General features: G+C 35.7%; 1 protein-coding gene across 32 annotated transcripts in view; it reads left to right on the top strand.

Moving 5' to 3' along the window:
• NFIB (nuclear factor I B) overlaps positions 1 to 13,674 on the top strand; it is a 450,235-nt gene that overhangs the window by 341,722 nt on the left and 94,839 nt on the right. For 29 of the 32 annotated variants that reach the window (NR_161383.1, NR_161382.1, NR_161384.1 and 26 more), the window contains one exon: positions 10,576 to 10,629. The exons of 1 other annotated variant lie outside the window; for it this stretch is intronic. Coding sequence is in view for 26 of the 31 variants with exons in the window: in NM_005596.3 (NP_005587.2) it covers positions 10,576 to 10,629 (54 nt within the window). In the remaining 5 variants the exon portion in view is untranslated. Of the gene's footprint in view, positions 1 to 9,551; positions 9,698 to 10,575; positions 10,630 to 13,674 lie in introns of those variants that run through there. 2 more of the 32 variants (NR_161385.1, NM_001282787.2) reach the window with 1 other exon arrangement.

Here is a 13,674-nt window from a genome sequence, read left to right as displayed (position 1 = left end):
ACCTTTGTAGAAAGTAGGCTATGCATCATCTTACTCTGTTATCCAGTTAATTGCTATGCATCTTGAGTTTAAATGTATACATTTATTTTTATATGAATATAGTATCACAGACTTAAGAGCCATAATTTAATAATAAAACAAGGACTGGTTATTAATCACATGTAAGTAACATAAGATATAAAAAACCCATCCAGTTTCTTCTCTCTAAGCTCACATAAGGATATAAACATAAACATTTTAATGATTTGGCAAAGTATCTTTTTAGCTAACATGATAGAGAAATCTGTATCCAATTTAAAAAATTTTTTAGGAACATATGCCTATGAAAAAATGAGCAATGAAAAAATAAGAATATGACTTTTTGGTCATTGAGTCAATCACTACATTTGTATTTGTAGAGAGGTTGTAGAAACTTAAAAATTAGAATATGTGTAGATAATAATCAAAAACTGAAAGTTATGATTGGTATTACTGGCAGTTTGTTTGTAATTTAAGGAAGATGAACTGTTTTAACTGCTACCAGTCATCATCTTGTTCTCTGTAAAACAGTGGTTAGTCATTCAACACATACTGATTGAGCATCTAGTATGTGCCAGGAATATGCTAGGGCAGTGAATAAGACTAACATGTTTCTTGACCCCATGGGTTTTAAAATGTAGCAGAAGAGTTGCACTCTAACCCAGCCCTTCAATTACCTGTGTTGTCAGCGTTTGCAAGGGGCAGTGCAACCAAGTAGGTGGGGATTTTTTTTTTTTTAGGAGGGGGAGGAGGAGTACTAATTAAACCTTAAAGAACATTAAATATATATATCTCATAGCCTTTTTCCACAAAAATACTTGTGCATATTTCACTGTTGTGTGAAATTATTTTTTTCCTAGTATTTCTAATTCCTTTGAAAACAACTAAGACTAAACTCTTACCTTTCATTAACTAGTTGCCACTGGGCAAGATGAAAACTGATTCGTGCGTGAAATGGTTTGCTTAGAGTCAGCGTGCTAGTGCTTGGCAGTTGCCGGATAGAGCCCAGAGTCCTGACTCTCCAGGCAGTTTGGAGAGAACATGTCCTGCTCCCTGAGAAGAAAGATTGCCAATGAAATATTAGAAAGTCTTATGTCTGATTTTAACCTAGATATATTAAGTGTTGGGAAAATACATGAAGTGACATAGCACAGAGGGGCCATGTGTACACAGGAGTGTTGTATGTGTGGGATTTAGAATAATGCGTGAAGACTCCAGGATAAACCAGATATGTAAGTCATGGTGCTAGGTAGTAACATAAATGCTGTTCAGGACTTTGGAGGTAAAACAGCACTTATTTTTCTATGCTTTCCTTTTAAGAGAAAAATTTAAGACTAATAGGATCATAAACATTGCATTTGTTTTATGTTGAAATTCTGCATTGATTTTTCGATTTGCCTTCATGATTATGTTCTTGAGTCTGATGACATTCTGGTTTTCATTTTCAGATTCTTATTTCACCAGCATTTTCTTTGCACTACATACCTTGTTGTAAAATGCAGGTTTCTTGGTTTCCAAGGGGAAAAAATGTATATTACATAGTATAGCTGAAATCCAAAATGTCTCCCAGATGGAAAAGAAAGAACATTCATCTCATCTTTTCCTACTGGATCTGGCTGGGTTTTGGAAAGGACTTTATTATTTTCATGTGGCAAACTGCGTTGGCAAATTGTTCCTCAAAGTACGCAGTGGCGTGTTCATCTAATATTATAAGATATGGGCAGCATTTATGAAAGATTATAAATCTTACAACCCTCTTCAGAAACTTAAAATACAGCTGGAAATGTTTTGCTTCCAACAAATATGCAATCTTCATAAAATTCGAAAAGAAATGTTTTGAATAAATAATGTTTTAGTTTATTTCTCTCTAGTGCGAGAGCTATTTCTTTTAGTCAAAATCGTGCCATAAAACTCTTCCCTCCTCTACATTAGCACCCTTGCCTCTGTATTTATATTATGCTGGTGCATTTAATGTATATTTTTAAGTATGCCAGATTGCTTTGCCTTGTTTTTAAAGATAGAAAACTGGATTTGCTCCCAGGGACTCTTTCCCTAACTCGACCAGTTTAAAAACTAAGCAAGGATTGAGTCAGTTAATTAATTTAAATAAGATTACAAATCAAAAACATATTATGCAATCTTGATTTAATTACCACATTTTATTTACTTAATTGAAAACACACTGTAGAAAGTCAGCAATCTTGACAATGACCAGTACGGTGTTTTTGCATTCTGTAGGTTAAAGCCTTCAAAAGCAAGAACTGTAGGTGATCCTGATTATGACCTTTGGTTCACTCAATCCCTAGATCAGTAGGAAGTCATTGAACTTAATCTTAGGTTAGGGCAGAAAGGTCAGATATGATTATCCTAGCTTCCCATTGTTGTGGGGGGTGGGTTGGTACTACTTAATGAAGTACCACAGCCCTCTGGTCAGAGATGTTGGCAGGTTTAACACTTTTTGTGCAGGGTTTCATATTTGCAGGGGATTCATTAGTAGTCCCCTGTGGTAGAATGATTTGCTTTGATTTTTTTTGATATATGATTTTTGATAATATGATTTTTTTTCCACCTTAAATTTCAGTGGCCTATTTTTTCAGTTAATTCCCTGTGGACAAATTTCAGTCTTGAGCGCTAACAAATCCTTATTTTAATCCTTGGGATATGACTCTTTGTACCTAATCTCCTTGTTAAGCAAAAAAGTGGCTCTTTAAAAGAAAGCTTAATGATAAAACAACTGGGATGTTCAGGAATGAAACAGGATATATCGTATATCTACTCTCTTGTTCTGTAGTTTTCTTTGGTTAATGAAATTACTTTATCATGAAGATCTTAAGTGTAGCAACATCTTTTTAAACTATGCGTTTTGCTAAATCAAACGTATATTTTAAAATCAATGTTAAACAACAGAAAGAGGGATCTGAAGATATAGGTCTTCATACTTGAAATAGTAAATAGTTTAAAATATGCAGGAAACTGCATCTCCCAAATATTATATTGGTTCTGCCAAAATATTCAGAGAGGTCTAATTTCTCTTATTGCTCAGAACTGGGTTTAGGAGGAGTACGGATTCACTAAAAAAACAAACAAACAAACAACAAACAAGATCAGGGATTCCATTAACAAAGTGATAAAGTTAAAACTTTTCATGAACAGCTTGTTAAGTTAAGTTTTGCAGTGAAGTGGACTCCAAATAATTTAATGCCCTATTGAAAAGAGACAGAGAGACAGAAGCAGAGAGAGACAGGAGATAAAGGGAGACACAGGCACACACACACACACACACACACACACACACACACACACACACACATACACACACACACACACACACAGGAGCGAAGAATGAAGGAGGGAGAGAGAGAGAGAAACCATTTCCCAAACATTTACATGCTTATGAGAGGCAAGGAAAACACTCAGTTTTCCCATGTTCTTTCGTTGTCTTATTTTAATACACATCTAATAGAGAGAAAATAAAATAATGTAGAACTATAATTTTGTGTCACCCAAAGCAATGAAGCAACCTTCCATTAAAACTGAAGCTGCCTGGTGTTTTAACTGTGCTGGAAAAAAAAAAGCCAAATTATGTAATAGGAAACTTGATTATGGAAAGCTAGTGTTCTGTAAATCCCAAGGAATCAGTCATGGGAGACAGTAAACTGCAAAGAGTGAGGTAGAAAACTTTGGGCAGAGAGAGGGGAAGAGAGAAGAAGGTTTGGCCCAAGGAGAATAGTTTGCTCTCCATTACCCTTAATAATATAGATGTTTTTGTTTTACCTTTTTATTTCCCTACTATAAAATACATGCATTTGTATTCCTTCCGTCAAGCTTTTGTTTCTTACCTGTTACGTCTTGTTTCTGGCATGCTATATATTTAATTGTAAAAATATACTGTTTTATTATATTATCAATTAATAATGTTTTAGAGAGAAAGAAAGAGACTGTTCTGAGCCTTAAAAAAAATCTCATGGTATTCTTTCATTGACAATGGGCTATTTCTTCACCTGCTTAAGGCAAAGAACTATGACAAAAGGGCCCTTTATCACAGGATGACTAAGTTTAGTTCTAGCAAGAGGCTATCTGTAGGTTAACAGGTTACATTGTGGGTTTCATTTACTCCTCTGATATCCCTTGATATAAAAGCTATATTGTTATGGAATCATAGAATTTTAGAGCCACAGGGGACCTGAAAACTCACCTTGTACAGCTCCTTCTTTGCACCAAACTCATTATAAATTAAAATTATGCTTTTCCAGTTGTCTTTTTCTGTTGATCCTCAAGCCATGGTGTCAGAGAATAAAAAGAGTTCCTAAAAGAAGTTTCATCTAGGAGTAGAAAGTTTATCTATAAAGGTCATTAAAACTTTCTTGCCTCAGTGCTTGCAAAGTAGGGACATGGACCTTCAACAAACATTTCTTCTCTTTATAGGAGATGGACAAAAAATAATTTCTAACTCAAAATAGTATGTCTTATCCACCCTATCTTGTTTCCAAATATTTCTTCAGGAAGTTGGGAAGTAGGATTGAGCCTTACATTAGACTGAGAGACTTAGCCCTGGGAATTGTGTGTCTGTTTCCCTGGCTTGCCACAAGAAATTTATCTGTTTGACTTCTACTGTATGATTTTACACAGAGCGGTATGCTTTGTCTTTCTTTCTTGTGCACTTTTATAGTTTATAGACTGATGGTTTTCTGTTCATTTGACTTAACCAAATGTGCCAGGCCCTATCCCAAAGATTAGGGCTATAAGGCTAAATAGGGCAATAATAGACTTCGTGTCATATTGTTGAGGATGTAAAGGGGATGACCTCACCCTGGGGGACTTCAGGGAGAAAAAAGGGGGAACATTATGCACAGACTTGGAGACATCAAATGCAGGAGACACACAAGGAGTCCAAAGGCTAAAGTATGACCCAGGTGCTGATGGGGACCAGATCAAGGTGCCATGAATGGCATACTATTTTCAGAATATATGTAAAGGTTTTAGCAGATGTTTAGCTTAATCAGTTTTGGGTCTTATAAAGATCTTCTTGGTAAAAGAGTGAAATATGTCTTAGAAAGGTGGGAAATCAGGTCGTTTTTTCACGGCATTGTTCCTAAGGTCACCTTCTTTTGATATCTTTTATGATATGCCCTTGCCCACCTTTCCTAGGAAGAATCATCTGTCCCCTCTTGATTTATGTATTTTTTTATTTGTATATTTCTGTCTCTTCAGGCAGCCTCTGAGCTTCTACATGGCATAGAGTATACTTTTTTTAAAACAATATTTAAAGGTCATTATTGTAAATTAAATATAAATTTAATAAGCATTACAGAGCACCTACTGTGTTCCAAACATTACCAGGTGTTTGGAATACATGAGCCGATCTTGGCTCACTGCAACCTCCACCTCCCAGGTCCAAGTGATTCTCATGTCTCAGCCTCTCAAGTAGCTGGGATTACAGGTGTGTGCCACCGCACCTGGCTACTTTTTTGTATTTTTTGGTAGAGACGGGGTTTCACCACGTTGGCCAGGCTGGTCTCAAACTCCTGGCCTCAAGTAATCTGCCTGCCTCAGCCTCCAAAAGTGCTGGGATTTACAGGCGTGAGCATAAATCTTAATTGATTTACATTTAAATGATGTTTACATTAATGACCTACAAAAAAAATTTGACAGTTTTGATGATTTATCTACCTCAGATAGTTGCAGTGTATCTACTCCAGAAAGTTAGTGCTCAGTAAGAAATACTTTACAGGCTATTACTTATTTATTGTCATATATATTTAACACACATCTTACAGAGCTTCCACCAGATTGTCCATAAAACATTAGAATTTCCTTTGCTTAATGGAGACAAATTTGATTTATAGAATTGGCCTCTCTTTAAAACGTCAATTAGTATATAGAGTTCAGTGATACTAATAATTGCTTCCAACTTAGATATAGAAAATAGCTAAAGGTTTAAAAAAAGATTCTGAAAAAGATTTTGAATGTATTGGTGAATGGTGGGAAGGGTGAGGGAGGTTAGGGGAAGGTAAGTTTCCCAGAAACATTTAAACTACTGAAAAATCATTTAGCTTCGCATTATTTTAGGATTGCATCATAACGATTCAAGAAGTATTGTGTCTGAATAGGCTGTCCATATAGAGAACATAAGTTTTAATAGTTGCTATGCAACTTTGGACAAGCCGTTTGATCACTTATGTGTCCTAGGATCTTCCATAAAATTGGGTCATAGGAAAAACTGCTCACTCCTTAGGTAAGCTTAGATATTAGAAGAGCCACGAGAGATTGACCGCTTTTAAAAAAGGAGTGGACGAAAGGATTGAAAAGTTGGTAAGGGTCGTGCATGAATGTGAACCTTTTCTTGTTCCTGGAGAATCTTTAACCTGGAGAAGAAGGAACTGATTGAGTTTAAAATATAGTAATTTAGAAATAACTTCATTACTTTTTTTTTAGAAGAATAAACATATGTTTAACCCACACTTAAAGAATGGGGAACATGAAACCCACACTTAAAGAATGGGGAAAATAGAGATTGAGATCGAGGAAGATAAAATGAGAGGTGGAAGAGAATGAGGGAGGACTGGTTTTGGTTGGCTGCCTCCAAAAACTCCTCTCTTTTTCTCTACTGCATCAAAATCTTTCCAGACACTAAACTGGGTGTGGTGGCTCACACCTGTAATCCCAGCACTTTGGGAGGCCGAGGTAGGCGGATCGCTTCAGGCCAGGAGTTCAAGACCAGCCTGACCAACATGGTGAAACCCCGTCTCTACCAAAAAATACAAAAACTAGCTGGGTGTGGTGGTGTGCGCCTGTAGTCCTAGCTACTCGGGAGGCTGAAGCACAAGAATGGCTTGAACCCAGGAGGTGGAGGCTTCAGTGAGCTGTGATAGTGCTACTGCACTCTAGCCTGGGTGACAGAGCAAGACTCTGTCTCAAAAAAAAAAAAAAAATTTTTTTTCCCAGACACCAGACCCAGTATGCTGGGCAGCTCACAACTCTTAGCAGCCTTGTTCCTCAAAGACTTCAGCCTTCTGGAAGGTAATTTTCATCAACTGGCTGGTATCTACTGCCTTTTGAGCATGACAGCTGCTAAGAGCCTTGAAGAGCAGTGGACTCCTCCCTTTTGGGGAATGAGGGGTGAAAGCATTTACACAGGATTTCTCAGGTAGGCACACACTTCTCCATGCTTAGTCATCCCACCAGTCATTTTCAGATGCGTGTGTTGGGATGGACAGAACTTAGTTATGTCCCTTTTCTCCCTTTCTTCCTAAAAGTTAGTTGTTATTAAGCATAGAGCCACATTAAAAATGATTAATTTTTTCATTTTAATATGTTTAAACCATTAAATATATTAATCATTTTAAATGTGGCTCTATGCTTAATATTAATATCTTTTATTTACTGATAATGTAGACTGTGTCTGACCCAATGCTTTTGGTGCTTAATGTGATAGAATCTTGCAATGATTTTACAAGGTAGATAATATTATTGCAGTTTTCAAGATCCAGACACCAAGACTCTTAAGAGTAAGTAATTTTGTACAAGATCATGTCACTAGTGAGGGACAGAGCCAGGCTTCACTGTAACATATTAAATACACACACACACACACACACACACACACACACACACACACACACACACACAGAGAGAGAGAGAGAGAGAGAGAGAGGTGGGGGGTGTTGAGCAAAGTGATGGAAGTGGTTAAATAAAACCTTTGGGTATAGAGTAATTTGACCTAGGTGGTGAATTGGAAGGGGTTTAGATGTGGTCTGAATAATTCCTTCTCTGAAGTCAACCACAATAACAGTTCATTTTTGGTTTCTCTGCCAACCACGACTCCCTGGTTACTTCCTTTTCCAGCAGTTGGAATTAAGTGACCGATATAAGGTGACATAAGAGTTAAGAGTAGATTATAGTGTTAGAATTTACAGTCTGAAAAGTAAATGCTCTATCATTTGCTCACTGAGAGGGCCCTCTCCTATGTTTCTGAGACACAGTATACACTGCTTTATTTCATGAGAAGGTATGGGCTTTGGCATATGAAGGAGTCTGTCATTGTGTGCCAGTAAACACCAGATCATTTTAGAAAGTGGAATTGTTACAAAAAGCCAATGTGTGCCTCAAATTTAGGGTCTACTTCAGCTTTCCCTCAAATGCTTGTGGTTTTTTTAGTAAGTATATTTTTTCAATCGAAGAAGTTGGTCTGCAGTTGTTGGAAATGAGAAGAAAAAGTAATTTATAGCAGAAAAGAATAGAGTTTCCCAAGTGGGATGTTGTGGTAACAGGGGATGCCATTGTTCTAGCTGGATAGTTTCTTACGAATGGAAGAGACTTTTCATTCTTTTCTCTGCTGGACCCAAATTTTAGCAACAGATGATGGAAAAGAGTTTTGCGGCACCATTTTGAAGTTGCTGTAACTAAACATGCTAAGGCTCATGCAGAGTCTACAACTCCTGAAATAAGGCGACTGCTGCAACAATTGACAACTTTAACTATCTCAGGTGTCATCACAAGCTTGGCATTAGCCACCTTGAGGGGTGCATGTCTAGACCTTCATAAGAGTGAGATAGCTTTGGAGGGAAAGTAAAACATAGGGAGGCTCTGGTCAGTGGGTGTATTATACATAAGTAGGAATTCCTAAAAAATGTTAGAATCGCTTGAGAAATTAAACTGGAATGTAATATCAATGCTGAGAGACATTTGTCAGAGGAACTCAAGGTAAAAATAGCTGATGCTATAGCAAAAAGTTATGATTTATCATTTTTATGTAGCTATCATACTCCAGGCCTGGAAAGTGGCCCATATTGTACCAGTTTTTTAAAGGAATGTAGAACGAAGAAGATTGATCTCCTAATTTATAAGTCACTGAATCTTGCCTTGATTTCAGAAAAAGTAATAAGAGGACTTCATGGGAGATGAGAGAGATTTTCAGAGAGTTCTCAGCTCTCTGACTGTCTTCAGGAGACTCGAGCCAGATGAAGAATGGTCATTTCTAGTTTCTTTACTTTCATTTTGAAAAATCAGGAAACAATTGGAGGAAAATGTGGGAATCACTAAATATGCCTGCCAAGATCTCATGAAATCTGTTCTAGAATAAAACCAAAAAGACAATTAAGGAAATGGGATGAAGGGGTAAAATTCTGATTTCAGCATTAAATCTAAGCTAACAGGCATGAGGCAAAGGGCAGAAATAAATAACCAGGTTTTATATGAGAAGAAACTAACAGGATGTTCTTGCATTTAATAGTAGAAGCAGCAATTTCAGTATGTTAATCACTTACCTGGAAGGACAGAATAACCCCGATGAAAAAAACCAGCATATGATTTTCCTGCTTAACCAAATCACTTTCTTGGCTCAAGTATAATGGCAAGGTTTGGGGGAAGAGACTTGTCAGTATATGGCAGTACATGACAGAGCCGTCATTTGTGCCCCACCTATCAAATTTTGTTGAAATTCATTATCAAGTTCAAAATTGCCTTTTCTAGGCAAGCAAAGAGGCTGCTGGAGCTGAGCCATCCATTCCTCCGGCGTTTACTGCAAGCCTAGTGCATTCACAGCCATGAACAGCACACTGAGGAGGACACAAAAGAAGTAGACAGAATCTCTGCCTCTGCTTAGGAGTATGCAATTTAGTTGGGGCGACAAAACTTAAATGCTAGAACCAATAAAAGAAGATTACAAAGCAACTCGCAAGTAAGTGTATAATAATATGGGGCAAATGACACAGATAAATGGAGAGGGTACAAGGAGGGAAGAGGAGTGAGCAAAACACAACAGTGTCAGATCAGTCCGAAAGGGCATGTTGCCTAACAGTTGTATGTCTTCCACGTTTCTTTCTGTAGCATCAATGAGGAATAGTATGGGGTAGGAAATTCAGATATACGACATTGATCTCTTCCTCCTTACCTGCAAAGTCTGTCCATCTGTCATGGATGGAAATTAAATTGATTCAACCATTTGCTCTCCACAAAGCCATGTTGGTTTCTACCTAGTAATTTATGCTTTCCTTGCTGTTTGCAAATCGATTGCTATTATGGGATGTAGATAAATCTGGGCCTGGATCCAGTAGGTTGGGAGATTATTGGAGTGGGTATGTGTACTTGTGTGTGAAATCATGGAAAAGCGGACTCTCATTTCTGTGTATTTTACTCATTGAATAAAAACATACTTTCAGGCTTTTAAATGCACGTTTAATTACACTTAGATTGCATTTTTAAGAGAATATATCTGCTTTATTTCATATTGCTACTGACAGGCCTCAATATTTGCCTAACCTTCAAACCATCTTCAATGGCTTTGTAGCCAGATCTTTTGTTTCAAAAAAACCTTGCTCTAGCCCAAGAAAATTATAGATCAATACTTGTGTTTTTCTTTTGACATAGAAATATGTATATGCATTCATGTAGTTTGATGAGTAAAATGTTTCTATCAAAAGTCTTGGGAAAGTGTATTTTATTTAAGCACTCAACTTCATTTTTATACCTTCAAATTTTTTTTTCGAGTCCTTTGAGGATTGTGAAATTCTTTCAAAACAAATTAAAAAGAAAACATTTTCTGTGATTTCTTTACAGATTCTGGACAATCAGGAAGTCCAAGCCACAATGATCCTGCCAAGAATCCTCCAGGTAAATATGTGTTCCAGGACATTTGCAATCTGACATTGTTGGAGAACAAAGGTACCACTGTATAGATAAACACCCCATAATTGGTCAGCTGCCTATTTTGTTCTGGCAGGCAGGTATGATCGGGACAAGATGTGATTGTGCTTAGGCCCTTTGCAGTGGCAAATACTTTTATATTGGCGTCATCAGTATTTACCTAATCACCAATGTTTTAATTTTTGTTGGTGTTTCTTTGAAAATAAATACGCATATATTTTAGTTGTGTATCTTTTAGGTGCTAAAATAATTGCTGTTTGAAAAGCCAATGAACCTTTTAATCTTTCTTTTAAAACTCATAAGAAAATGTAAAAATTTCCATACTGCAATTATAGTTTATCAACTCTCATTACTTTAGAAGGGGGTTGGGGGTGGGAGTGGTTGGTTGTGTTTTCACTGAAGGATTTTTGCAAGACTTTTTATTCCATAAAGTTTTTATTGGATCTCCAGAATCAGGAAATAATGAAAGCAGGATTTTTTTTTTCTTTAGCATAAGGTATCCCAAATACCCTCTTTGTTTTCAGAAGTTGTTCCAGATCTGAAAATGGGCTTTTATAACTTGGCTGTCTTCATATAGCTCTGAACATACAACATTTTGCTTTTGATTTAGGAACAGTGTTTTTTCTCATGAGATAAAACTAGCACAAGCAGTTTTTCATTATTAAAAGAATGTGAATTATATTGGTGACTTTAGTAAAAGAGTGCTCTAAGAATAAACTAACAAAAACAAAACCAAACACAAAAACCCCGAACCAGCTACACATGCCCCCCACCTCCCCAAACAATCTCATCTGTCCTTTCGTTGAAAATAAACCAGAAAGTTTATATGAAGTAATAGGAAAAGTTTCCTCAGGTAGACTTAGTTTTTAGGTCCTCCATCGTTTGATCTTCCTTGAAGTCGTGCTTAGCTAATATGAGGCTGAAATACCAGAAGAACACCAAAATTGCAAGAAAGTTTATCAGACCAATTTTGTCTTAAAATGATTTTAGAAAGATACAGCAAGTAGATATACAAGTAAAAATGCAAAATCAAAACAGACTATATTTTTCTGAGTCCTATGTTTTTTTATTTCAGAAAAATTATCTTTTTCCAAATATTTATTAATTCTGTATTGTACAAAATCATATTGTTGACAAAAGTAGTATACACTTCAAAGATAAAAAGTTCTAATTAAACACAGGTTTAAAAATGTATGCTAAGTTGATTTTTCATTTTCTTCATAAATCATTTAAATATTACTGTACATTGAGAGCAAAACATTAAAAACAGAATAATTTAAAATGTAATTCCCAGTTAAATTTATTTTATTTTGTTGTGTGTGAATGGAGGATTGATATTATTTTAGTTATCTTTCCAAAAAGGCTACTTAGAATATAATAAATTTTGTCAAAAATTTTCAGAAGTTCAGAATATTTCATTAACTTATAGGGTCTTTTAACTTTACAAAGATTTTTTTCTTTTTAATTAACTGATATTTTCCCTGTGTTGCATGATAGACAAAATGAATTTTATCCAAACATTTTTTAAAAGTCTCCTTACTCATCTTACAAAGAATGAGGTGGGAGAAGAGGGGAACCTTTGGTAGAAAAAGAGTTGATAGCTATTATAAGTCGGACTAAACAACGGATATGTTTTCTGCATTTGAATGAAAGCTTGATTTGAAACTAATAAAGCAGTTATTGTTTGAAGTTCATTTCTGAACATGTACAGAAGGAATTATACTCACCTAAAACTGTTCTCTACTTGAGCTGAATAAATAATCCTTGAATAGTTATGTAACATCATTCAATTTTTCAATATTTGTCAAGAAGCTTGGTTAAAATTTCATTTTTGCTGCATTCGATGTAGCATCTCTTTATTTCTCTGTTTGCATATAACATGGCAAACAAAAACAACCAAGGTAGAACACCTCTAATTTTTTTCCCTTTTAAATTTTCCTTGGAACTCAAACCTTTTTGAGACTGTGTCCTGAAACTGGGATGCTACAGATAAATACATTTTATGATTAGTTGAAAATTGTATATATGTAAATCGTACGTTGATTCTATTTTTTTAGAGCCAGAATGTAATATAAAATACACATTATACCCAACTTAAATGGAATATAATTAGAATTTTATTTAATTATCCAGAATGTAAAATATTGACTTTAATATGCCTTGTGTATTATAATACTATGAACTCAACCATAAGGCTTATTAAGGAATTCTATTTTGGACTTAATGATAGAGATTATTAAAGAATTTTTTATGAGCTTAAGAGTTTGTTTTGTAATACTTCGAAATAAATTAAACCTAGAATATAAAATGTTTTCTAATTTTAAATGTGAACAACTAGAACTTATTAAGGTTTTTGTTTTGTAGTCAACTGGAGTAAATTATACTTTCTATTAAAAGCTTCTTTTTTAAGTATAAGCATATTTGGTATTTTAGGACATAATTTATCTTTAGGAAGCTCTTTTTATCTCTGTATTCTTGCCTTGGCCAAAATATGAAATCTCCAAAATTGAGATTTTGTGTCTTGAGAAGGCACGATCCATGTATGAGAAAATTCAGTCTACCACCACAAGCAATGAAACAATCAAATCACTTTGCTGCTTGAATTGTTATACCAAATACAAGCTAAGCTTTTGAAAAAGATCACCTTGAATACCAACACTTTCTTATCACTGGTAGTTTTCCACTGGGAGATGTGCAACCCATGGAAATTGCTACCGTCTATTCCTGTGTTTATTCCCCAACAGCTTGGGAAGAGATGGCAAAAATTCAAGCCCTTTTGGAGATATAGGCTCTTTGAAATCTGTTCCCCACTGTTGACTTGAAGGTGGAATCCCATCCGATCATCCTATAAGTGCAGATGCATATGCCTACCCACAAACTTAACACCTCCTCTGGCTTGGCTTTTCTCCAGCATCAGGCTTGAATGTCTGACTTTGAGACTACTTTCTTACTGACTTAGAACTTCTGAAGGGTGACCCTAAAGCTCTTCAAACTATAGTATGGACATCTACA

The sequence above is a fragment of the Homo sapiens genome, chromosome 9 (genome assembly GCF_000001405.40).
Source record: "Homo sapiens chromosome 9, GRCh38.p14 Primary Assembly".
NCBI lineage: Eukaryota > Metazoa > Chordata > Mammalia > Primates > Hominidae > Homo > Homo sapiens.
The sequence above is the reverse complement of the archived record's forward strand: the minus strand, read 5'-3'. Positions and strand labels throughout refer to the sequence as shown.